At 39.2% G+C, this 27,863-nt stretch overlaps 1 long non-coding RNA gene and 1 pseudogene across 1 annotated transcript in view; both read left to right on the top strand.

The window, feature by feature from the left end:
- The window catches only part of LINC02218 (long intergenic non-protein coding RNA 2218), a 39,937-nt gene extending 18,724 nt beyond the window's left edge, over window positions 1-21,213 (top strand). The window contains exons 2-3 of the long non-coding RNA NR_134270.1: window positions 14,882-15,023; window positions 20,999-21,213. This is a non-coding gene — a long non-coding RNA (long intergenic non-protein coding RNA 2218). The remainder of the gene's footprint in view (window positions 1-14,881; window positions 15,024-20,998) is intronic.
- TAF11L1 (TATA-box binding protein associated factor 11 like 1 (pseudogene)) lies at window positions 23,595-24,152 on the top strand (annotated as a pseudogene).

Consider the following 27,863-nt stretch of genomic DNA (forward strand, 5'->3'; position numbering starts at 1 on the left):
TGTCTTATTTCAGCAAGGTGGTCTTCCAACTCTGATATCCTTTATTTTCTTTAGTTGATTTGGCTATTGATACTTGTGTATGTTTTACGAAGTTCTCATGCTGTGTTTTTCAGCTCCATTAGTTTGTTTACGTTCCTCTGTAGACTGGTTATTCTAGTTAGCAATTCCTCTAACCTTTTATCAAGGTTCTTAGGTTCTTTGCATTGGGTTAGAACATGCTCCTTTAACTCAGCGTAGTTTTTTATTACCCATCTTCTGAAGCCTACTTCTGTCAATTTGTTTATCTGATCCCCTATCTAGTTCTGTGCCCCTGATGGAGAGACTTTGTAATCATTTGGAGAAGAGGCACTCTGGCCTTTTGGGTTTTCAGCATTTCTTCACTGATTCTTTCTCATCTTCGTGAGTTTGTCTAGTTTCAGTCTTTAAAAACCCCACCTGACCCTCAGGTGGGGTTTTTGTGGGGGCTTTTTGTTGTTGTTGTTGATGCTGTTGTTGTTGTTTTTTGCTTGTTTGTTTTTCTTTCAATGGTCAGGTCCTTCCGTAGGGCTGCTGCAGTTTGCTGGGAGTTCACTTCAGGCTCTATTCATCTGATTCGCTCCGGTGCCTGGAGATGTCACTCAAGGAGGCTGGAGAACAGCAAAGTTGGGTGCCTGCTCCTTTTTCTGGGACCTCTGACCTCGAGGGGCACTAACTTAATGCCAGTAGGACTGCTTCTATATAAGGCATCTGACAACCCCTGTTGGAGGGTCTCATCCAGTTTGGTGGCACGGAGAGCAGGACCCATTAATAAAGCACTTTGTGTCTTGGTGAAGGGGTTGTGCTTCTCTGGGGGGGAACCCACTTGTCTAGGCTGCCCGGATTCCTCAGAACTACTGGGAGGAAAGGTTTGCAGAGACTGTGGCCACCCCCTTTCTGAGGGGCTAGGCCCAGGGAGATTCAGCTTATTCCCCTGAGCCTCTGGCTGGAGTTATTGGAGTTCTGCAGGGAAGCCCCGCCCAGTGAGGAAGGATGGGTCAGGGTCAGGGTCAGGCCTGAAGAGGCACTCTGGCTGCTGACTGCCACAACTGGTGTGTTAGGCTGTGGGTACAAGCCTTGGGAGCAAGCCGTCCAGTCTCCTTGGCTCCAGCAGGGGAAAAGAGCAGCCTGGAGCTTTAGAGATGGATGCCACCCTTCCCCCACCCAGGGAGCTTCCGTGTTAGGCAGTTGCAAGTCCTAGTGCTGGCTGCTGCCCCTTCTCCAAGGAGCTCAAATGGCTTAGACAGCAGGCAGCCTCAGCTGTGTTGCTGGTTGACCCTCCTCCCGGAGGTTCGGTGGGTTTAAGCAGATTCCAACTGTTGAGAATCTGTGTGTTCTGGGGTTGGGACACTAGGCCCTGGCGGCATGGGTTCACAAATGGGATCTTCCGATCCATGGGTTGCACAGTTCTGTGGAAAAAGCACGGTTTCCCGGGCTAGGTAGCACACTCACTCACCGCCTCCTTTGGCTGAGGGGAGGGTGCTCCCCTGCCCCACGTGGCTGCAGCACCACACTGTTCTTCCTCCTCTCTGTGGGCCACACCAGCCTTCTAGTCAGTTCTGATGAGAGAACCTGGACACCTTGGTTGCCGGTGAAGGAGTCACATGCTTATTATGTTTTTTTTGTTTTGTTTTTTTTTTTTTTTTTTTTTTTTTTAATAGGAGCCACCCAAGGCCGCTGTTTCTAGTCGGCCATCCTGGCCCCTCCTATTTCTGTATTTTTAGTAGAGACGGGTTTTGCCGTGTTGGCTAGGCAGGTCTGGAACTCCTGGCCTCAAATGATCTGCCCACCTCGGCCTCCCATACGGGTGTGAGGCACTGCACCCAACCACTCTTTTATTCTTTTCTGCAGATTAGGCTTTTCATCTGTTGTCATTTCCTTCAGCCTGAGGAACTTGCTTTAACATTTCTGGTAGTGAGGTTTTGCTTACAATATATTCTCTAAGCCATTGTCTGAAAATGGCTTTAATTCACCTTCGTTTTTGAAAAATGAACAGTTAACATTTTTCATTTAGCATTTTAAAGATATCATTTCATTATCTTCTTTCTTTTTTTCATGAGAAGTCAGCCATCATATTTATTGCTGTCACCCTGAATATAATGCATAATTTTTTTCTTTAATTGTTTTTAATATATTTTATTTTAATCATTAGTTTTCACCAGTTTGGCCAAAAAATTCCTGGATGGGTTTATCTTTGTGTTTGCCCTGCTTGCAGTTTGCAAATTTTTTGGATCTGTTGATGTATTTTTATCAGTTTTAGAATAGGTTTTAGCTATTATCTCTTCAAGTATTTCCTCTGTTTCATTCTAATCTCTTTCTGGGACCTGAATTACACATATGTTAGATGATAAAATATTGCCCCAGAGGTCTTGTATGCTCTGTTCGTGTGTGTGAATTTATTCTTTTTTTTCTATATTTCTGTTTTTAAGTTAATTTGCTTATTCTTTCTTCTGTAGGTCTGGCCTGCAATTAAACTGATTTAACAAACTTTTTATGTATGGTGATGTATTTTCAGTTTCGTAATGTTTATGATTTGGTTGGTTTTTTTCTTTTAGGTTTCTACATCTGCGCTGAGATTCCACATCTGTTCATCTATTTTGTCCACCTTTTCCCCCAAATTTTTAATCAGAATTCTATTAACTGTTTTAAAGCCTTTGCTAATTTCAACATCAAAGTCAACATGTCAATATCACCAGTCTGAGGATCTGCTCCTATTTACTATTTTTTTTTTCTGTTAGTTGTGGGTCATATTTCCATGTGTTTTTGTATGCCTAGTAATTTTTGATTGGATGATAAACATTTAAGACAATAAACCTTTTGTTATCTTTTTATAGAGTGTTAAATTTTGCTTTGGAAGGTGACTAAGTTACTAGCATATTCCCTTGATCTTTTGGAGGCTTGGTTTTAGAGTTTTTGAATGGGCATCTGTTATAGTTTTTCCCTTAGTTCTGTGCCATAGACTTTAGTCATGATATGTGTTTCTTATTCCTAATGTGTGGTCCTTGTAGAGTCTTAATGAGCAGCAACGGTATTTATCAAGCTCCTCTAACCTCGCCAGATTTGAGCTGTAGGCTGGAGAGTCACTAGGTAGCTGCTGAGGTAGTTTCTCAGTTCTTTATCCTTTCAGGTGCTGCTTTCTTCTGGATTGCTTAGATTCTCACCACGAAAATAGACAGTTTAGGTAAAAGCCAAGGATTCGAGGAGAGTTTGTTTGCAGATTTGGCAGTCTCCCTTTTTTCTGAATATTTTTCTTCCAATTTCATGTTCTGCTAGAATCTCTGAACTTCAGTCTTCCTGTCCTTTTCCCAATAGGATTACATTTCTTGGTTGATTTTCATTTTCTCTTTGTACTGCAGGGAGCCTGAACGTGTTATCAGGGGAAAAGCCAACTAATTACGGAGCTCACCTACTGTGCTCCTTCAGTTTCTGCCTGCTTTGGATTGTATACCAGTGCCTTCAAACAGTTTAAAAAAAATTTGTCTGCAGTTTATATTCTTATTATAGGAGATTTAGTCTGATATGAGCTATTCTACCACAAATGGAAACAGAATTTTTGCATAAACTGATATCTAACATTAGTTGCCTGCCAGTCCTTTGTCATGTGCTGTGGGAGAGATTTATGTACCTTAACAATGATCCACATAACAACACTACAAGATAAGTATCATCATTGTCATCATCATCATCAATCATCACCATCGTATTACTGAAAAGAAACTGAGGCAGAGAGTGATAACAAACTTTCCCAAGTTTATAAAGTAAGGGACAGATGCAGGATTCAATTTTGTGTATATATATATACTTTTTTTTTTTTTTTTAAATTGTCTTTTTTTTTTTTTTTTTTGAGACGGAGTCTCACTCTGTCACCCAGGCTGGAGTGCAATGGCATGGTCTCAGCTCACTGCAACCTCTGCCTCCTGGGTTCAAGCAGTTCTCCCACCTCAGCCTCCAGAGTAGCTGCGACTGTGTGCCACCACACCCGACTAATTTTTGTACTTTTAGTAGAGACGGGGTTTCACTATGTTGGCCGCACTGGTCTCGAACTCCTGACCTCGTGATACACCCGCCTCGGCCTCCCAAAGTGCTGGGATTACAAGCGTGAGCCACCGCGCCCGGCCTTGAGACGTAGTCTTGCTCTGTTGCCCAGCTGGAGTGCAGTGGCACGATCTCCGCTCACTGCAAGCTCCGCCTCCTGGGTTCACGCCATTCTCTTGCCTCAGCTTCCGGAGTAGCTGGCATTACAGGTGCCCGCCACCACGCCTGGCTAATTTTTTGTATTTTTAGTAGAGACGGGGTTTCACCGTGTTAGCCAGGATTGTCTTGATCTCCTGACCTCGCGATCTGCCCGCCTCAGCCTCCCAAAGTGCTGGAATTACAGGCTTGAGCCACCGCCACCGCCCCCAATGTTGTATATATTTTATATAAAGCTTGTAATTATGCCAGTGATTATCAGACTTGGCTGCAGATTGAAATTTCTTGGGGAGTTTTAAAACTACTGATGGTTTGATACCAACTCTACAGACTTTTAAAAAAAAATAACCAGTTGTAACTATGATTTGGCTATTGAGATTTTAAAAGTTCCTCAGATGTTTCAAATGTGCAGCTGAGACTGAGAACCATGGTGCTATGCCGTGGTTCCCATGATACCAACTAAATCCTGTAACCAGGTCTGTTGATGCTAATTTAATTTTTTTCTTTCTAAATAATTACAGAATAAAAAGATGTTTTATATAGTTACTATTCTGATATCATGATTAACAATGAAAGTAAGACTTTTTGAATATCTCAAATTAGTTTTTTTAAAAAGCCAATCCATTGGTAAGGATTCTGGTTGCCGTTATCTATATATGAGTGATAATGCTTATGAATGTAATGAGTGTTTCTATTTATCGTGTAATAAGAGCTTTATACTTGTTCACTTGTTTTGTGAATAAGAATAGGAAATAAAATTTACAAGAGCTATTGTATTACTTTTTTATCTTTTTTACTTAATATGAAGAAAATAAATAGCTAATAATGAGAATAAAAGCCAGCCTAGCATGCGAGTCACTTGCCGATGCCTAATGACCGGTTGCTGATAGCGGCTGCTTCACGTTGATAGTGCAGTAAGGTGATGTGGGTGATTGTGGGTGATGAAAAGTTTCTACAGAGAGTCTGGGGGCCTCAGTTTCGGTTTGAGATATTAGCCTGGTTTTCTAGTGTGACCTGAAACTGCCTCAACTTCTCTATACCTTCTCTATACCGAGGTATAGAGACAGTTCCAAGACAGCAGTTGGAATTGAGGCCCTTCTGGCTCCAACGTTTTGTAATTATCAAATTATTTCCTCCTTGAAATACTCTTTCTCTGAAGACAGTAGAACAGTCAAAAGTAAAAGTATACTATTTGAATATGTTTTTAACTGCACCTATTTCGGTGAATAAATCCTGTAATAAACTGATGATTTGGAAGTAGAGTGGATGCTGCTAAAAGCTCAGTTCATCTGAGAAAATTCCAGATAGGGGAAGCTTGATGTAGGCAGAGAAAATGAAGAACTGTGGTAAAATTTAATGAATAGCTGATGAAGCCCATCTGACCCTCTGTGTCAGGAGGTAACCAAATGTGTCTTTGTTGAGAAGTCCTGTGACACAGAGCTGTGCTTCCACCTGGCAGGAGATGCTGGTATTGGTGGCTGCCTGCATTCAAGCCCCTCTTTCCAGAATGGTAACATTGTGATTTGCTTTAGTCAGGGTTCCTATTCTTGCTGGGGGAGGTATGGCTCTGATAGAAAGGTAATAAACCCACCAGGAAGGGCTGATTTGCGTTGGCTGGCTGCAGCATTGAATTGGGAACAATAGATGGGATAATAATGCAGTGGTTGGAGGCGGTTTGGCTTTGACCTGGGTATCATTCATAGGTTGAACACAAAGCTGTTTTTACTCGTAGTTAAACATTTGGCAATTGCTGATCAGTAACAATGTACTAGATGTCCTACTGCAGTAGCATGGTTCAGTGGGCATAACATTGACTGAACTAGAATGTAAAAATATTTGTACTTAAATGTGTCTGTTTTGCTATTGATTGCTCTTGTGAATTTGGAACCATCCTTTGCCGTCTTGGCGTGTGTGTGTGTGTGTGTGTGTGTGTGTGTCTGTATTCATTTGCTTTGAGATGTGAAATCAGGGGAGAGGGTATCTTCAGTAAGATGAGTTTGAAATACTTAAAGGAATGAACCAAAATGAAGGTCAAAATAAAAAAATTAAGAAAAAAATATCAAAGATGTGAAAAAGCTGAATGACAGTATATTTTTATGTAAAAGATTTTCTAGACAGAATATTTGAAATATTGAGGCCCCAAAGCTCCAATGGTTAAGCCCCCAAACACCAATGGTTAAGAACATAAATGCAATGAAAAGACAAAGGATTGTTGACTCATAGATTTACTAGGTACTTTACATATTACTTTACTTTTTACAGTCTTTGGGTAGTGTTAATTATGTGAGTATATTACCCTGTTCTCTTGTTTGTAAATCAAGGTTGCCAGTTCACAGGTGGAATTTGAGGCCATATTCCATTCTTTGAAGAAGCTCTCCAACATATCAGAATTCTACACATTTTACTCTCTTTTTGTTACTCTTACTTGGCATAAATACATGCATTCTGGAAAGAATCTTTAGTGTGCGTGTGTGTTTGTGTGTGTGTGTTGATTATACTTAAGCAGCATTTTTATATACCTTCATTTTAACAAGAAGAACACATATATGTGATAAAGGTAGCATAGGTGATGTTGGGAGGAACATGAGTAGACAGTATGAATTCCAGGATTCTTCAGATCAGAAGTATTTAAGGGTGTGATATAGGTGTAACCCTGTTTATGTTCTACAGAATAGGGGAATTTGTTTTCAGCTTGGACTAAATGAGCAGTTCCTCGCTTGATTACCTGCCACAGGAGTTCAAGGGTTCAAACTTTTAGAATGGTGGTTTATAGCACCTGGAAGGGGGGAGGCATGGGGAATGGAGGGGATGCAGCCTCAAAGGCAGGTAGTCAGAACAAAGCACTCTACCAAGAATAAGGAAAGTGCAGGATTGTGTGAATAGAACTCTTTTCCCCAGTCCACTCCCGGGAAAATACAGCATATGAGCTGAAGCAATTCTTTCATTGGGAGACAGTCAATGCTTTGAATAAACCTTGGGAAAGTGCATAATCAGTAACAAATTTTCTATCAAAAAAACCCCTGCAACACAGTGAAGGGGCAATCTAAATATTGAGGCCAGGTTGTATGAGACAGGAATTACATAAGACACATAAAAGAGAGGATAAGAAAGCACTGAAAGAAGCTGTATCCAGAATAAAAGCTCTGATAATTTACTGTACTTGGGGCCCAGTTCTAAGCTGTAATTCTTACTCTGGCACATGTGTTACAATATTTCACCTACTGGGAGTGCAGCTGCTTTCCCTAATCCAGAGGCAGTACAAGAGACAGAATAAGAGTTCAAGCTGTGCACAGTCCCTAATGCTCACTCCTCCACCTATTACCCATGATGCTGGGCAAATTTCCTATATTCCCTGGACCTCAGTTTATTCAATAGTAAAATGCAAACATTAAAGTACTTCCCTTGTGCATTTTTATAAGTACTAAATGAGATGATTCATGCCAGGAATTAGGAGAGTGCTCAATCAGTGTTAGCTATTAGTAAGATGGTGATTTCCTCTGAGAGAATGAGAGGCAAAAGGATTTCGATTATTGAAAATGTAACTGGGCCCTGGTGAGCCAGGTGATGGCTCATCATGAAGATGTATCACTATATGAACAGACAAAAGGATGCAGGCAACTAACAGTACTTGGATTGGAATGAGAAAATTGACAATTTTGAGAGTTTCAAGAAGTATTGAGATTATTCCAACTTCTAAATTTCAGGCTCCGTTGGAATTTACCACTTTTCTTATAGATATAAATACAGGTTGATATATAGATATAGGGATATCTATTTTGGTTTTGGTTCCTGGAGTGTAAGCTCTCTAAGGCAAGGTCTTTGTCTGACTCTTCGTTCTATCCTCGCCTGTGCTTGGTGAAATACAGTGCCAAGATAGAAATACATTTTCGGTTGTGATAACATTTTGTAAACGGCTCTTGTTTTCTGGAGTTGCTTATTGTGGAATGCTAGACTTTGATGACAGAATTTACACAGTGATCTACATTGCTCTCTGTAACTGTGATTACACATTTTTTTTAAAACCCCATGGCATTTTGAGATGACTAAAAGTTTGATTAAGTATGACTGAATTACACCATGTAATATAAAGTACATTCATTTTACCAGGAAGTTAATGGAAGCTTAAATTGCTATAAAACCTTAAAACATGATTGCATATGATAATAAACTCATTTGCCTTCTAATTAAAGATCAGTGAAAAGCCCTCATTTGGATATGATATAGAAAAATTTCTATTCAGATTTATCCTAGAATCCACTTCTTGTGTTCTACAAGTTCTTTAGAACGTATTTCTCTACTACTTATTTCTCTCATTGTTTCTGTTTTTCAGCCATGATAAAATCCAGTGGCTTAAGACTAGAAAACCCAGAAACAAATCCATACATCTGTAGTGAACTCATTTTTGACACATGTGGCAAGAACACACACTGGGGAAAGGACTTGTTTCTTCAATAAGTGGTGCTGGGAAAATTGGGTATCTGTATGCTGAAAAACAAAACTAGACCCGTATGTCTCGCCATATACAAAAATCAAATCAAAATGTATTAAAGACTTAAATCTAAGGCCTCAAACTATGAAACTACTAAAATAAAACATTGGGGAAACTCTTCAGGACATTGGTCTGAGCAAAGATTTCTTGAGTAATACCCCACAAGCACAGGCAACCAAAGTGAAAATGGACAAATGAGGTCATATCAAGTTAAAAACCTTCTGCAAAGCAAAGGAAACAAACAACAAAGTTAAGAGACAACCCACAGAATGGAAGAAAATAATTGCAAACTATCCATCTGACCAGGGATTAATAATTAGAATACCCAAGGAGCTCAAACAATTCAATAAGAAAAAAAATCTAATAATCCAATTAGAAAATGGGCAAAAGATTTGAATAGACATTTCCCAAAGAAGACATACAAATGGCAAACAGGCATATGAAAACCTGCTCAATATTATTGATCATCAGAGAAATGCAAATCAAAAGTACTATGAGATATCACTACAGTTAAAATGGCTTGTATTCAAAAGACAGGCAATAATGAATGTTGGTAAGGATGTGGAGAAAAGGGAACCCTTGTACACTGTTGGTGGGAATGTAAATCAGTAACCACTATGGAGAACAGTTTGGAGGTTTCTCAAAAAACTAAAAATAGAACTACCATATGATCCAGCAATACCACTGCTAGATATATACCCAAAAGAAAGGAAATCAGTATATTAGACAGAGATCTACAGTCCCATGTTCATTGAGGCACAATAGCAAAGATTTGAAAGCAATAGCAAAGATTTGAAAGCAGCCTAAGTGTTCATCAACAGATGAATGGATAAGGAAATCTGGTAATATACACAATGAAGTGCTATTCAGCCATAAAAAAGAAAGAGATCCTGTCATTTGCAAGGACATGGATGGAACCGGAGGTTATTATGTAACTGAAATAATCCAGATACTCAAACTTTGCATGTTCTCACTCATTTGTGGGAGCTAAAACTTGAAACAATTGAACTTGTGGAGATAGAGAATAGAAGTATGTTACCAGAGGCTGGGAAGAGTAGTGGGGACGGGGTTAGGGGGAAGTGGGGATGGTTAATAGGTACAAAAATATAATTAGACAGAATGAATTAGACAGAATGGTGGTAGAACAGGGTGACAGCCAGCAATAATTTATTGTACATTTAAATATAAGGATTGTTAGTAACACAAAGGAAGGATAAATGCTTGAGGTGATGGATACCCCATTTACTCTGATGTGATCATTATGCATTGTATGCCTGTGTCAAAATATGTCATGTACCCTATAAACATATACAGCTACTATGGACCCATAAAAATTAAAAATAAAAAGTTGTTTTTAGTCCAGGTGCAATAGCTTATGCTTGTAATCCCAGCACTTTGGGAGGCTAAGGTAGGAGGATTGCTTGAGTTCAAGAGTTCAAGACCAGCCTGGGCAACATAACAAGATCCCGGCCTCTACAAAAAAATAAAAAAAAATTAGCCAGGCATGGTAGTGCATGCCTATAGTCCCAGCTACTTGGGAGGCTGAGGTGGGAATATTGCTTGACCAGGGAGTTTGAGGCTGCAGTGAGCTATAATTGCAGCACTGCAGTCATCCTGGAGGACAGAATGAGACCCTGTCTAAAAAAAATTTTTTTTTTGAAATCTGTTGGTTAGAATGCTTCCTTCAGTGTTTCTATCAGGTCCCTCCTTAGTATCCTATACATATAATATAGAATTACATATAAAATACAAAAACTGGAAAACTTAAAAGAGATGGATAAATTCCTAAACACATTCACTCTCTCAAGACTGAGCCAGAAAGAAATTCATTCCCTGATCAGACTAATAACGGGCTCTGAAATTGAATCAGTAATAAATAACCTACTAACCAAAAAAAAAAAAAAAAAAAAAAAAAGACCAGGACCAGACAGATTCACAGCTGAATTCTACCAAATGTACAAAGAAGAGCTGGTACCGTTCCTACAGAAACCATTCTAAAAAATCGAGGAGGAGGGACTCCTCCCCAACTCATTCTATGAGGCCAGCATGATGTTCATACCAAAAACTGGAAGAGACACAACAAAAAAAGAAAACTTCAGGCCAATATCCTTAATGAACACGGATGCAAAAATCCTCAATAAAATACTGGCAAATCAAATCCAGCAGCACATCAAAAAGCTTATCCACCACGATCAAGTAGGCTTCATCTCCAGGATGCAAGTCTGGTTCAACATATGCAAATTAATACATGTGATTCATCACATAAACAGAACTAAAGACAAAAACCACATGATTATGTCAATAGATGTAGAAAAGGATTTTGATAAAATTCAACACTCCTTCATGTTAAAAACTCTCAGTAAACTAGGTAGTGAAAGAACATACCTCAAAATAATGAGTTATCTGTGACAGACCAACAGCCAACATTATACTGAATGGGCAAAAGCTGGAAGCATTCCCCTGGAAAACCAGCACAAGACTAGGATGCCCTCTCTCACCACTCCTATTCAATGTAAATTTGGAAGTCCTAGTCAGAGCAATCAGGAAAGAGAAAGAAATAAAGGGCATCCAAGAAGGAAGAGAGGATGTCAAAATATCTCTGTTTGTAGATGACATGATTCCATATCTAGAAAACCTCATAGTCCTGGCCCAAAAGCTCCTCCAGCTGATAAATAAGTTCAGCAAAGTCTCAGGATACAAAAATCAATGTACAAAAATCCTGAGCTTTCCTATATACCAACAACAGCCAAATCTCGAGCCAAATCAGAAAGACAATCCCATTCACAATTACCACAAAAAGAATAAAATACACAGGAGTATAGCTAACCAGGGAGGTGAAAGAATTGGCAAAATATTGTTCAATTACAAATTATAAAGAGAATTACAAAACACTGCTCAAAGAAATCAGAGAAGACACAAACAAATGGAAAAACATCCCATGCTCATGGATAAAAAGAATCAATATCATTAAAATGGCTATACTCTCCAAAGCAATTTACAGATTCAGTGCTATCTGTATCAAACTACCAAAGACATTCTTCACAGAACTAGAAAAAACTATTTTAAAATTTATATGGAACCAAAAAGGAGCCTGAATAGCCAAGGCAGTCATAAGAAAAAAGAACAAAGCTGGAAGCATCATGTTACCCAGCTTCAAACTATACTACAAAGGCTACAGTAAGCAAAACAGCACGGTACTGGTATAAAAACAGGCATATAGACAAGTGGAACAGAATAGAGAGCCCAGAAATAAGGCTGCACATCTATGACCATCTGATCTTTGACAAAGCTGACAAAAACAAGAAATGGGGAAAAGACTCACTGTTAAATAAAAGGTGCTGAGATAACTGGCTAGCCATATGCAGAAGATTGAAGCTAGACCTTTTCCTTAGACCATATGCAAAAATCAACTCAAGATGGATTAAAGACTTAAATGTAAAACTCAAAACTATCAAAACCCTAGAAGACAACCTAGGCAATACTATCCTGGGCATAAGAACAGGCAAAGATTTCATGACAAAGACACCAAAAGCCATTGCAACTAAAAGCAAAAATTGACAAGTGAGATCTAATTAAACTTAAGAACTTCTGCACAGAAAAGGAAGCTATAAACAGAGTAAATAGCCAACCTACAGAATGGGAGAAAATACTTGCAAACTATGCATCTGACAAAGGTCTAGTATCCAGCATCTATAAGGAACTTAAACAAATTTACAGGAGAAAAACTAACAACCACATGAAAAAGTGGGCAAAGGACATGAACATACACTTCTCAAAAGAAGACCTACATGCAGCCAACAAGAATATGAATAGAAGTTCAATATCACTGATCATCAAAGAAATGCAAATCAAAACCACAATGAGGTACTATCCCACACTAGTCAGAATGGCTATTATGAAAAAGTAAAAAAATAACAGATGCTGGCAAGGTTGTGGAGAAAAAGGAACATGTGTACACTGTTGGTGGGAGTGTAAATTAGTTTAACCATTGTGGAAAGCAGTATGGTGATTCCTCAAAGAGCTGAAAGCAGAACTACCATTTGACCCAGCAATCCTATTACTGCTTATATACCCAGAGAAATAAAAATAATTCTACCATAAAGATACATGCACACAAATGTTCATTGCAGCACTATTCACAATAGCAAAGACAGGAAATAACCTAAATGCCCATCAATGACAGATTAAATAAAGAAAATATGGTATATATACACCATGGAATTCTATGCAGCCATAAAAAATGAGATCATGTCTTTTGAGAGAACATGGGTGGAGCTGGAGTCCATTATCCTTAGCAAACTAAAATAAGAACAGGAAACCAACTACTGCATGTTGTCACTTATACGTGGGAGCTAAATGATGAGAACTTGTGAACACAAAGAAGGAAACAATGGCCTGGCATGGTGGTTCACACCTGTAATCCCAGCACTTTGGGAGGCCAAGACGGGTGAATCACTTGAGGTCAGGAGTTTGAGACCAGCTTGGCCGACATGGTGTGAAACCCCATCTCTACTAAAAATACAACAAGTAGCCAGGCTGGTGGTGCATGCCTGTAATCCCAGCTATTCAGGAGACTGAGGTGCAAGAATCACTTGAACCTGGGAGGTGGTTGCAGTGAGCCAAGATCGTGTCACTGCACTCTAGCCTGGGTGACAGAGTAAAACTGTGTCTTGTAAAAAAGAGAAACCAAGAAACAGAGAAGGAAACAACAGACACTGGGGCCTACCTGTGGGTGGAGGGTGGGAGGAGGAAGAGGAGCAGAAAAGATAACTATTGGGTACTGGGCTTAGTACCCAGGTAATGAAATACTATGTACCACAAACCCCCATGACACGTTTTTACCTGTTTAACAAACCTTCACTTGTACCCCAAACCTAAGATAAAGGTTAAAAAAAATTCACTGGTCTAAATGCTTCCTTCAGTGCACCCATGAGGTCCCTCCATAGTATAAAATACACACGTATTGGCCGGACGCAGTGGGTCACACCTGTAATCCCAGCACTTTGGGAGGCCAAGGCAGGCAGATTGCCTGAGCTCAGGAGTTCCCGACCAGCCTGGGCACACAAACTCTGTCTCTACTAAAATGCAAAAAATTAGCCAGGCATGGCAGCATGTGCCTGTAGTCCCAGCTACTCAGGAGGTTGAGGCAGGAGAATTGCTTGAACCTGGGAGGTGGAGGTTGCAGTGAGTTGAGATCGCGCCCTTGCACTCCAGACTGGGTGACAGAGCAAGACCCTGTCTCAAAAAAAAAAAAAAAAAAGCTACATGTATTACATACACAATCACATATTGTATGACAGAGTGAGACTCTGTCTCAAAAAAAAAAAAAGCCACATGTATTAACATACACAATCATATATTGTATGACAGAGCAAGACTCTGTCTCAAAAAAAAAGCCACATGTACTACATACACAATCATATATTGTATAAGATAATTTATATACAATTTTATAAAATATTAAATATATTACATAAAATAGTATTGTATACTAATATATATGAAATAGTAGTATATACATGTAATATATAATATTTGGCAGTATTTAAATGCTATGGGATAAAGACAATAAGGAGAAAATGGCTAAAAGATAGATATACATGTATATGTACATAAATTTCAATATGTTAGCATATACATATTAATATGTTTGATGTTATTACTGTGTACTAGTATCTATCTATATTTAGCTTGTTAATAAATATGCTTGCTCAAGACTAGATTAGAGCCTTTGTTAATTATGTTGCTAAGGCGCTCTTGCTTTCCTCTGATACCCATCACCAGGCCGAGCTTCAGTTTATTTCCAATCACTGTCTCTAATTATCTGGGAGATGTACTGTGGCTCGTTGCCTCTCATTCTGCTTTGAGAGGTTCTGTCTTCACCAGCTGCCAGGGTTTTCTGTCCCTGGGTCTCTGCCACACTGAGGTATAGGGGAAGCTTGTTCCACTCCCCACTTTTTTTTTTTTTCTTTGCTGGAAGAATCATCTCTGAAGGTTTTTCCCTGACAATACACTCTCCTTGAACTGAATATGTCTAAACACAGTTGGTTTCACGGACATTTGATCTGTGCAGTTGCACAGGGTCCATTCTCAGAAGAGCCTGGTACTTACTTGACTTAATTCTCTGCTGTTTTGATATTCTGGATAATTTTTGAACAAGAAGCCCTACATTTTTATTTTTCACAGGTTCCTGCCAATTATAGAGGCAGTCCTATTTCAAAATGCCATTAAGCATCCTTCTGAGCTGCGGAAAGTCATAGGACCAGTCTTCAGCCGTGCCCATTACAGTAGCAGTGACAGCACACCACTTTGCTCATGATACGGATCAGTAAGTGTTTAAGTGAACTCCGCTCTATCTGCAGATGTTAAGCACTCACTCCACACCCCCTCCCACACTGAGGCCCATGCAATGAAGAGTAAGGGACCTTCTCATAGCCTATGTGATGAATATTGAAAACTCTAAGACTGAATCTTTACTTCATGCAAATAAGTTCTTGAAGGAATCCTCTTAAAGTCTGTCATCATGTTATTAGAGACACAAATTCTCTTCAACTCTAAGGTAGCAGCCAGTAGCATGTTGCATAGCTGAGTAGCTTTAACAGAAGGAAGGAAACGTAGCACTGCATTAGTTTCCCAGGGCTGCCGTAACACATCAGCACACACGAGGTAGCTTAAAACAACAGAAATTACTTTCCTTACAATTCTGGAGACCAGAAGTCTGAAATTAAGGTATCAGCAGAGCTTTACTCCCCAGAGGCTCTGGGGATGAATGTGATCCTTTCCTTTTCCAGCTTCTGGTGGCTGCAGCTGTCCCTTGGCTTGTGGCTGTGTCTCTCCTTGATCCATCTTCATGTCACCTACTCCTCTTATGTGTATCTCTCCTCTGTGTGTCTGTCCCCAAACTCAGACCCTTTCCTAAAACGATACAGGTGGTTGCATTGAGAGCCCAGAACATGTGATTGCACTTAGAGCCCAGACAGATGATACTGGATGCGCATCTTTTTGGGTGCCACCATTCAGCCCACTACAAGCACCTATGTTGATAGGAGTGTTTAAGATATTCAAGCAGGAGGCCAGGTGCGGTGGCTCACACCTGCAATCCCAGCACTTTGGGAGGCCAAGGCAGGCAGATCACCTGAGTTCGGGAGTTTGAGACCAGCCTGACCAACATGGAGAAACCATGTTTCTCTAGTAAAAATACAAAAATTAGCTGGGTGTGGTGGTGCGCGCATGTAATCCCAGCTACTCAGGAGGCTGAGGCAGGAGAATTGCTTGAACTTGAGAGGCGGAGGTTGTGATGAGCTGAGATTGCACCATCACACTCCAGCCTGGGTGACAGAGTGAGACTCTGTCTCAAAAAAAAAAAAAAAAAAAAAAAAATTCCAGCAGGCAACATGACAACATTTGGGAAGGTGTTCAGTGCACATGCAAGGCACCTTCATTTTTAAACTAGGTGTTCCTTAAAGCACAAAACCCAAAGCTGTCACCTTCTCAAAGCTGATTCAGAGATCCATGTTTTCCATGTTGTCAGGAGTGGAAGGCTTTTGTGGTATATTCCTTTCTCTGTGATTTTTATAGTGAACCTTAAAGATGTCTGCCCTAAATGTTCTACATTATTCTAGCTTGTTCACTGGTTCAAAGGCTGTAGTATAAATTTTGCACAAATGATTCATCTCAATTCTCTTGACCCTTGGAAAGTGCTCAATACACAGTCAGCTCTGGTTAAATTTCATATTTAATAGATGAGTCTATATGCTGTCATTTTCATCAATACTTTTGTGTAAGAAACTAGGAAACATGAAAAAGTCACTTAGTTTCTCTAGTCCCATTGAAGGGTGATGGGATTAGGTTGATTTTTGGTTCAATTCCTTTGAATTGAGAATTCTGTATTTTGTAAAGTAGCACGTAAGCACTATGAGGGTAGAAATTAAAAAGAAACTTTTTATTATGGAAAATTTAAACATATGCTAGATAATGTGTTCCTATGCACTCATTACCCAGATTTAACATTTAATAATTCAATTCAAAGTTAACATCATCTAACCCCTCTTGTCATATTATTAAACATATAATAAGCAGTTTGTTGACAATTTAATCTCCAGTTTAAAAACATATACTGTGCAAAGAATTCTGCTTTTTTCAAGATCTTCACAACCAAAGCCTGTGATGCAACTTTTAGATGCATAAATGCTACAGAGTTTTGGGGAAATAAAACAACTTCAAAGTTGGTGCCAGACCTATGGTATGAGGAATACATTTTTTATTCCTCTTTCCATTGTGTTTCTTTAATTTTGGAAATTCTATGAGTTGAAAATGAAGGGAGAAAATGGGAGGTGTATTCATTAGCATAGAGATGGTTGTAAGAGGCAAGAATGGATGAGGTTGTCAGGAGAACCAGGAAAAGGGGAAAAGTAAGAGGCTGAGAGAGTGACCCTGATAATTGATGACCATTCAGCCAGCTAGAAAAAGATGAGTTCACTAGGAGACTTAGAAGTATGTTGGCCTAGCGTGGTGCTCACTCCTGTAATCCCAGCACTTTGGGAGGCCGAGGCGGGCGGATCACAAGTTCAGGAGTTCGAGACCACCATGATGAAACCTCGTCTCTACTAAAGATACACAAAATTAGCTGGGCATCGTGGTATGCGCCTGTAATCCCAGCTACTCGGGAGGCTGAGGCAGGAGAATCACTTGAACCCAGGAGGTGGAGGTTGCAGTGAGCCGAGATGGCGCCATTGCACTCCAGCCTGGGCGACAGGGTAAGACTCTGTCTCAAAAAAAAAAAAAAAAAGAAGTATGTCAACACAGGGAAATCAACCTAGAATAGCTTGGGAACCTGATCCAGAAGCCACAGGAAAAGGATTTTTTTTTTTTTTTAAAGGAAATGAGTGGTGAACATTGTCAAATCCTGCATTTGACATATGAGAGGAGTGTCAGTGGCGTGATGAAGGCAGAAGCCAGACTTGAGAAGTCAACAGAAGTTGACCAAGAGGAGACAGGCCGGACTGACAACTCTCAGAAGGAGCCCAGTTCTTAGGTGGGAGGAGAATAGCCAATAGCTAGTGGGTAGATGAGGAGAGTGAAGTTAATTATTTTCAAGGCAGGAGACATTGACAGTATTTATCTGCTTCTGGGGTAAAAGTAGTAGAGAGGAAAGACAGAAATAAATAAATAAGGGATATTTTCAGAGAGGCTACTGTGGGACTTAGACCACAGGTAGAGAATAATTTATAGGTGGGGGAGGAATCATCATTGTGATGAAAGAGAAGGGAGAAATCTGAAAAATCTGATCTGGATACAGATGTAGACACGTTTAAGGGTAGGAACCGATGTGTTTCCATCTGATATATATATGCTTTATATATATATATATATATATATATATATACACATACACACACACATATATAGGTGTGTATATATCTAATAGGCATATAGATATACATACCTATATATAAAAATTATATATAAGTATAATATATAATAGATACAAGTACTATATATTATACATATATATATAATTTTTTGAGGGAGGTGACAATGTGGTCTGCTGAGAAGCCAGAGACTATTGCTATAATCTCAGTGAACACTAAATACTTATGGAATAAATGCTAATAAGCAATGTTAAAAAAACAGATGTATTCTTAACAATTTGTTGGTAATTACCTTTTTCTCCCTTTTTTTTCTTTTTAGCTTGCATTTTTTTCCCTTTTTAATAACACTCAGTGATGGTACCTAAACAGAAATTATAAAATAAAATAATCATTTATTTTTATGGAGAAAAAATAAAATAATTATTTATTTTTATGGAGAAAAAATAAAATCAACCAACTAACTGAAGTGTTAAATCTAAATTGGTCTTACTATATTCCAGAGAGTTTTAGTGGTAATACAATCCTTACACAACACACACATGCTCACACGCACACACACACACTCCAGAAATCAAATCATCCAATGTAAATGCACCCTACAGTCAACCTGAAAGCCTTTAGGAATAAATACGTGTTTCTTACCATGCTCTGTGATTGCTACCCCCTTGGATCTTCACGCCCAATGCTAAACACAAGTGAAGCATATACATCTCTAAGACCCAGAGTTTGTCAGCTGATTCTTATTATTCAAGGATGGGAGGAGAGCTGTTAGAGGAACAAGGCAGGGGAAAGCTGGCACAGCATTGTTAGAAATCTCAGTACAGTGGTTCAGAGGAGGCAGCTTGCTTCGATAGGGAAAGGTTAGGGGATGGAGGGGCATAGTTGGGTTTGAATTTTCTTTTTCCACTCCTAAGGAAATGCCAGTTCCTATAGAGCACACCGCTCTTTCTTTTCTGCTCCCTTGCCCCTTATTTTCTTCTTCTTTTATTTTCTTCTGTCTTGATCTTTCCATACCCCGAAGTTAAAGGATGGGGGTGCCCACTAGAGAGCAGAGTCGATTCAGATCTGGTAGAATGAAGAATTGGAATGAATCTTCCCAGTCCATGTAGCTTCTATGTTCTACCATGAAGGGAACTCATCTTTCCCAGCTCCCTTTTATATTGTTCAGCTAAAAAAGGAAGCATCAAAATAATTTGTAAGCACTGTGTTGGTTTTTGTAAACTTCAGATTCATTTTAGAGTCATCAGAGAGCTAACTTCTGCTTATACCTATTTGATACCCAACAAGAAATTTTGCGACAATAAAATGAAACACTTATGGTCTCTGAATATCATAAACAGTTTCAGTTATGTGTTTAAATTCAGTATCTGTGTAATAATTAAAGAAATTACAACAGGATAAACCAAGTAGGAAATAAGTGCCTGGAACTATGCTTGGTAGATTTAGGGCATCTAAGGCATTGACCGGTTTTCTGAAAGACCATGACAGTTAAGAAATTCCCCTGCCAGGGATAAAATTAAAAAAAAAAAAAAACTTTAAAATATCAGATCTTTCATGTCTAGGCAGGAAGAGTTTAAATTTTGTACATATTCATGCCATTTCCTCCATGATACATAGCATGTAGAAAAATGTTCAATAGATATTTGTTGAAAATATTTTTTGAGTATGTATTCAAAAAAGAGGATACATCTAAAAAGAGCCTGTCAAGGATCTGAAAAACAGCCACCTAATTGGTATGTTTCTTTCTTATTTTTAATTTGAAAACCAGAGCCACATCATTATTTTGGGGGAGTAACAGTTTTACAACTTTCCTCTGCCAGCACCTTTATAGATGTATCCAGAAAGGCTCTGATTGTCATGAATGCTTTTGCAAACATTCTGCAAAATAATAACGGCAGTTCTGACATAATTTTTTTTTTTAAATTTAATTGGGCATAGAATAGAAATGGAAGAAATGCTTTAAAAACATTACAAGGGATTTCAGAGCAAGAATAATGCTCTGAAATAAGCATAATGGGATGAAGAATGATGACACTGTTTAGTGGAAAAAATTTTAAGTGCTTTTATCCTTTTAAAAAGCAATTCAAAAATTATCCTGACACTGATGCTTAGAAAGTGTCTGTAATTTTTCTCTGAGGCACTATAAAATATGAGCTGGTTCTCCCCCATCTGTGATAGTTTACATGGAAGGTTATCTAATCTGTGCAGAAGATCATGTCTTTTTTTTTTTTTTTTTTTTGAGGCTGAGTCTTGCTCTGTCACGCAGGCTGGAGTGCATGGGTGCAATCTCTGCTCACTGCAACCTTTACCTCCTAGGCTCAAGCTATCTTCCCACCTCAGCCTCCCAAGTAGCTGAGACTACAGGCACAGGCTTCCACGCCCAGATAATTTTAGTATTTTTTTTATTAGCCTGATGCAAAAGCAATTGAGGTTTTTGCAATAAATACAGGTTTTCACTATCTTGCCTAGGTTGGTCTCCAGATCCTGGGCTCAAGTGATCTGCCTGCCTTGGCCTCCCAAAGTGCTGGGATTATAGGTGTGAGCCAGTAAAATATTTTGGAATAATGCAGCATATATCTTGTTATTTATAAACGTTATTTATGTGCTATATTTTGTATATTAAATACTAGAAATTTAATTCTTGCTTTTTAGATAAAAATAAGTATAAATGGACATTAATTTTTTTCTTTATGCCTCAACTATCTTGCATATTTCTTGGGGTATATAGCCTTTTCATCCCCACTTCATTTTAGAAATCATAAATGTAGGCCTTTCTCTAGCCTGTAGGTAAAGAACTACATAGTCTTTAAGAGACAAATGGGGGATATAAAAAGCTTAGATACATTCAGTCTCTCCTTAGAGTATAATGAGAGATAACTGTACACAGTAGTTGATTTTTATTAATAGATTATGTATCTCTGTTTTATTTCAGGGGTTAATTTTCAAGTTTTGGATGGTTCTCCCTCTTTGAGTTACCATTTGTTTCTGCTTATAACCTACTGATCATGCCTTTAGTACTAAGTAAATATTGAAAAGGGAAAGCCTTAGGTGGCTTGCGAAGGCTCTGATGTAAATATGTGTTGCTGAGACGGGGAAGTGAAGGTGTTGGATTATGCATGACTTTCACATGTGTTCTTATACCACATTCATGCCCCCTCAGGTGAGTTAAGTAAAACTGGTTACTTAGTATCAAGGTATAATAAGGTCTCAGAACTTTGAGTCACTCTTTTCATTGACTGTCATAGATTCCATTTTAAGCTCTGTTTATTGAAGACTATCACTATGTTATTCTCATTGTTAATCTTATTCCTGAGGCACCAGTAATCCAAGTGATTAGATTATCCTTAATGTTACAGCAAGGAAAAATTTTCAACAATGTTAATATTAAATGAACTTGCATTAAATATCATTGTCACATGAATTCTAGGTCTTGCTATCATGTTCTGCATTCAATTAAATAACAGAAGGCAAGTCAAAGAAGCCCATATCAAACATGGACCAATTTTTACATTGAAGTATTAAAATCTATTTTCTTTAATACTTAGTATGATGTTAATTAGAGGCCAATATAATAAAATGTAAATTTATTTTTATTTTCTCAAAAAATAAAGAAAACCCATCAAAGGAATGCTTCAACTACTTGATTCAAGTACAGACTAATATCTTCATATGCAGTGAAGTGCTGCCAAGTTCTCAGATTCTTTTAGGACCTTTGATTTTGTACCAGCAAAATCAGAATTAGGAAAGAAATGTTGAGAAGGCAAATTGCTTAGAATTTGAGTAATTCTAAGTTTAACATTTATATTAATTTGTTGAACTGAGAAGTTGAGTAATTCTCAGTTTAGTAATTAATGGCATAAATAAAGTATGGGGGGCATTGGTCTTTAATCTTTAAAAGTTTTAAAATCTTTATAGTCCTCATATATTTTTATGTAGACATCTAAGTTTTCATTACGAGTTTAAACAGTTGCAAAAGATGTTTGACATATTGCAAATTCTGTTATTTAAAGATAAAATAACTAGATCATTATTTTAAATATGTTCACCATAATGGCAATAATATAGTAATTTCATATCTGCTACCAAATATTTTAAAATATATGAAAGCTCTTTAAAAGTCAGGTATTTTAGTGTCTACTTTATCTTCTGAACTAATTTTATGCTTTTTACCCATCTTAATTTTCTCCAAATGTGATACATATTTTTGTGCTTGAAATAATTTTATCCCTTACATGCTTCTCTGCAACCTGTGTATACATATATGTATATAATATAAAAATTGAAATAAATATTTCCATATTCCCCTTACCAGCCCAGTTTATCCTCAGAGTACCTGATAAACGACTTGTTGCTGAATCAGTGGGGGATTTTTGCTCCGACATTTAAGTTGTCTAACACGCAACTTCATAAAATGTCAAATTTTCAGAGAAAATATGTTCTTTATTATTGTGAAATGCAAACATTCAGAATATCTGAGGCAGACAGAATTCTGAAATGTCCCATGCATTTCCTGCCCCTCAGTGGCACGCCCCGCATCTGCCCCTCCCCTGAGTGTGGATGAAACCATGAAATTAATGTGCCTATAAATCCCTGATTAGGTTAGGAATACCCTGAAACAATGGACATTAAGTACTGGGTATAATTCAATCATCTGAGTTATCATAATGAGAGATAAGTGTATACAGTAGTTGATTTTTATTAAAATATTATGTATCTCTGTTTTATTTCAGGGGTTAATTTTCAAGTTTTGGGTGATTTCCCCTCTTTGAGTTGCCATTTGTTTCTGGTTACAACCCCTGAAATAACAGCGCTCTCCAGCCAGAGGGAGATTTGCCCCCCTTCCCCCATGCAGGAGATTCTCCTGTGGCGGCTCTGCAGATCCAGGGAGCCCCACGACCAGACCTGGGAGAAATTTTGGAAGCTGAGAGCATCCTCACAGCAGCAGGCAGAACAGACAAGTGGGCCTGGGTCTCACAACCCTAAGGCATTGAATTCCACCATGGAATCAGATCACAGCCAGACCTTTCCCAGGTCAAGGCAACGTCCACGCAGCCAGGCCCACCCTAGAGGTCCATTGTTCGACCTTGAGCAGGAGGCAGTCACTTGGCCTAGTGGGACTTCTGACCTGTGAGCTGGGGTTTGATTTAAATATCCAAAATTGGTGAGAACTTATTATGCATTGATCTAAAACTAATATACTCTCCATCCACAAGTTTCTTCACATTGTGGAAGTGAGAAAAACCAGTGTGTGTGTTTGTGTGTGGGAGTGGGAGGCAGGGAGCTGTGTCCAGTTGTGGCTAAACTATGGCTCAGCAGAAACACAGCAGCCAAAATCTTTGAAAGGTTCTCATTGCAGATCCATAATCAAACCACCCCAGCCAGAACAATTTCTGCCTCTACAGCGCTGTCATGGAGCAGACCTGAATCTCACCCATGGAGACAGGCAGGCAAGCAGGTGTGTCTGCTGAGATGTTCGCCATGCCCCGAGGTCTGAAAGGCAGCAACAAGGATGGGATCCCTGAGGACCTAGATGGGAACTTGGAAGAACCCAGGGATCAGGAAGGTGAGCTCAGGAGTCAGGATGTCATGGACCTCACAGAAGGTGACAAAGAAACCTCAGCCTCAGCTCCTCCTGCAGCCAAAAGGCTGAAAACAGATACCAAAGGAAAGAAGGAGAGGAAGCCCACTGTGGATGCAGAGGAGGCTCAGAGGATGACAACCCTGCTGTCTGCCATGTCTGAGGAGCAGCTGGCCCGCTACGAAGTGTGTCGCCAGTCAGCTTTCCCAAAAGCACGCATTGCAGCTCTGATGCAGTCTATCACTGGCAGTTCGGTGTCTGAGAACGTGGCCATTGCCATGGCTGGAATAGCCAAGGTCTTGGTTGGAGAGGTGGTGGAAGAGGCCCTGGACGTGTGTGAGATGTGGGGAGAAATGCCCCCGCTGCAGCCCAAGCATTTAAGGGAGGCTGTTCGCAGGTTAAAGCCCAAGGGCCTCTTCCCCAACAGCAACTACAAAAAATTCATGTTCTAGGCCCAAGGCCAGAGGGAAAGGTCTGTTTGTGCAGGAATAAGTATTGCATCCAGTCTGCTATGATAGGACTATGTTTGCTGGAGCTTCTGCATCTGTCTACCCTGGATTTAGCCACAATCTTTCTCATTGTTTCATAATGTGACATTGTTTCATAATCACCTTGACTAAATATTTGGGTCGCCTAGAACATATTGAGTCATTTTTATGTGTCTTCCTAGTTGGAAGAAGAAAGATGCATGGGTCTTGATCATCCTGTAGACAGATAGCTGCTTTCAGAGAGGGAAATCCCTTCTAAGAGTCTTGTATGGTTTCATACTGAAGCCTGGAGTTGCTGTGTCTTAGCTTGTGTGCTGGGTTTCAATAAGTGAAGCCTCCGAAAACTTTTCCCTAGTGATATTCTGCCCTGAAATCTGTGCCTGAGCAGGGGCACTGGAATTGTTGTCCTTGTATGTATTTTAAATTCTGGTATGGATTTTGGTGACTCATCTTAAAAACAGTTAAACTGTTTTCCAACCTGCAGAAATAAAGATAAAATCACAAAGCATTTTTTTCTCTCATTTGACTGTTCTCATATTCCTACCTACTGTGCTTTATGTCAGCCAGTGATCCTTTACATTATTATAAAGTAACATAATACAGGAGCATCTTATAAGACTAGAGTGACAGAAACAGAATCCAAATACCACCTTTCTGCAAAGACCCATTCGTAATGATCATCTAAGCAGTTTAAAAGACACAGATAGAAAGAGTGTATTGATAGTTCAGGTTTGCTGTGGTGCTTCTGTAGGTACCCAAATTTAGTTCAAAACATTGCTTTAGAGTATTCTTTTTTTTTGAGATGGAGTCTCACTCTATCGTCCAGGCTGGAGTGCAGTGGCACGATTTTGGCTCACTGCAAGCTCTGCCTCCCAGGTTCACGCCATTCTCCTGCCTCAGCCTCCCGAGTAGCTGGGACTACAGGTGCCCACCACCATGCCTGGCTAATTTTTTTGTATTTTCAGTAGAGACAGGGTTTCACCATGTTAGCCAGCATGGTCTCGATCTCCTGACCTCGTGATCTGCCTGCCTCAGCCTCCCAAAGTGCTGGGATTACAGGCGTGAGCCACTGCGCCCAGCCTAGAGTATTCTTGATTTTATTCATTCTACCAGTGATCCATTCAGAAAATCAAACCCGAGTACAGCAACAGAGGAAAAGAAGTTATTAAAATACCAGACAAAGTAGGTTCATCATGAGTTACAAAGTTATTCCACACTCCACTTGTTCATACTCTATGTTACCTTCTCTGTGGAAAAGGGTACTTTTTCATCATAGACTAAAGACCTGAGATTTATTATGGAATCACTGTGAACCTTCCCAGCACAGCTCACAGATATCCACGGTGCTACTTCAGTCTGTTTACCTTTGCCATGTGCCCCCTGAATCACAGAGTATAAGCAAAAAGATCTAAAAGCCCCCACAGTTCAGTCTCTCACATTGAGTGGAGAATAACATCTATTCTTTCTTCTTGAAGCCAAAGATACCTCCACAAAATGTTGTTTTATTTCCTCATACACTCAAGCTTTTGCTCTTAAAATAGAACTTATTGTACATAGAATCTATCTTTGGCTGAGCATTACATAAATTTCTACATTTTACCAAGCATGGGGAAATTCTGTTTCATACCTCCATATTCTGACATTGTTTAGCTTTCATTTTATTTTACCAACTTCCATGTAAAGGCATATAACAAGTTAGACCAGTGTGTCTTAGAGAGACACAAGCAGGGCACAGGTTCTTGGAAGAACTGGTGGAGATGGGAGGGCTCTCTCAGGAATTAAAGTGCTTGAGCAACCAAAAGAAGTAAGATCCAAGAGACTCATTGTCTCCCAGTCGTTAGATTGCTCTCAGCTCATTCCTTTCCCATGGCGTTGAGGAGTCTTGGGAGCTGTGTTCTGGCAGACGTGGCAGGCCTAGCAGTCTCTTAACACTAGAGTAAAGAAAACCTGGCCCAAGTAGCCTGAAGTGGGGATGAGCCACTGCAGAGAGCAGTGACAGTGGTGATTGGACACACAAGCTTAGAACGTTTTTCCGGCCCCCCATAGAACTCAATGCTTTGAGTGGGGTCTGAGTAAAGCTGAACTGCTGAAAACAGAAACAAGTTCCCATCAAGATCTCAGAGGTCAGCTCAGGAGCAGCAACACAGCGCTGTTTCTCAAAGAGAAAAAATGGATTAGCTGGGAAGGTTCAGTGTCCCTACACATTCAAAATCTTCTCACTATGTAATATCATATAGCCACAGCTCTCGAGAAAGGAATCTGTAGAAGGTGGTATCTTTCTAGGCAAAATCTTTGTTAGCTTTCATGGCTGGTTGTATTACATGTTAATGACAATAAAGTTTTTCCTGGAGCTTCATCACTATTCTTAAAGTCTATCTGATAATGTGCCTTTGGAGACTGCCTAGAAAGATGTGGTGTCTGGTAAGGTGGTGATGAAATTTCTAACAAGTAAAGTGACTGTACTTGACTATTTTCAAAAATTCAATATTTTGGGATAAGCTTAACATCCTCACTGCCTGCCTTTGCCCCCACAAAAGTACTTAGCATATGCCCAAATAAAGTTTAAGCAATCTATCTCCACTATTCTCAAGCACATGATATCTAGGGTCTAGTCTTTAAAAGTACAAAGCAAAAAGTTTAAAAGTATAACTCACAAAAAGTTGTACCCAGACTGAAAAAGCTGAAATGATAAATTGATGGGTTTGTGTTTTTTACGGAAGAGAGTACAACGCAGAGTGCTAACATACATATATAGCAGGGCTCTTAGAAAATGAATGCAGTCAAATCTTTTGTAATAGTTTCTTAAGTAACATGAATATTAGAGAGACGATTCATGAAATTTTAAGCTAGTGTCATGTCTAGGAATATCAAGACATAGCTAGCATTTTGTAAAAAATATTTTTTTAAACAAATCTATTAATGAGATAGATAAGGTGTTTCTTTTTTCTAATTACTTAGTTTTTCTTAGTCACATATTCAAGGGAACATACTAATGTTTGGTAAAATGGTGTTGGTCAAATTCTACTTCTCACTTTCACCTACCGTGCCATATTCAACTATTGTAAGTACTGGAAATTCAAGTATTGTTCATTTTAATATACTTTCACCAAAGTAGTATTTTTTATGAGAAAGCCATAATCTCATCAGTAAGCCCTTTCTAACAGAAAATATGAACTAGTAACTGATTATCCAACAGAAAATCCGACAGAAAATATGAACAAGTAACTGATTATGAGAAGAAAAGAAAACCCAGAAATAATCCTAAGGCAGAGCAACTTCAGGCTTCAGTGTGAAACCATCGCAGTCTCTTGGGAGATGTTTCTCTCTCAAAGAAGCTGTCTGTTCAAAAGGTGCTCAGGGACCATGCACTTTTCTCCTTCTAACTAGGAAGATGTAGAAAAATGATTCAATTCACTCAAGGAAAGAGAAATATTTAGTCAAAGTGATTATGAAAAAGGCTGCTTCCATGATTTAGGTGAGACCATGTCAGAGTTTGAGGAAGATGTTAAAATTGAGGGTGAGTCCAGGGTAGACTGAGCTATGGAAGCTTCAGCACACAGTCTTCTGTCATGGGAAGATGGAGCCGGTACTTATTCCCTCAGGAACAGGATTACTTTTCTAGTCTTGGGCTGGAAATCACATAATTTTTTGGTACTTGATAAAAATGTGGCTCTTAAACTTGAATGTGCAGGCAGGCTTTCTCAGGGGCATCTCTTTTTCAAATCTCACAC

Source organism: Homo sapiens, chromosome 5 (genome assembly GCF_000001405.40).
Source record: "Homo sapiens chromosome 5, GRCh38.p14 Primary Assembly".
NCBI classification, from domain to species: Eukaryota; Metazoa; Chordata; class Mammalia; order Primates; family Hominidae; genus Homo; species Homo sapiens.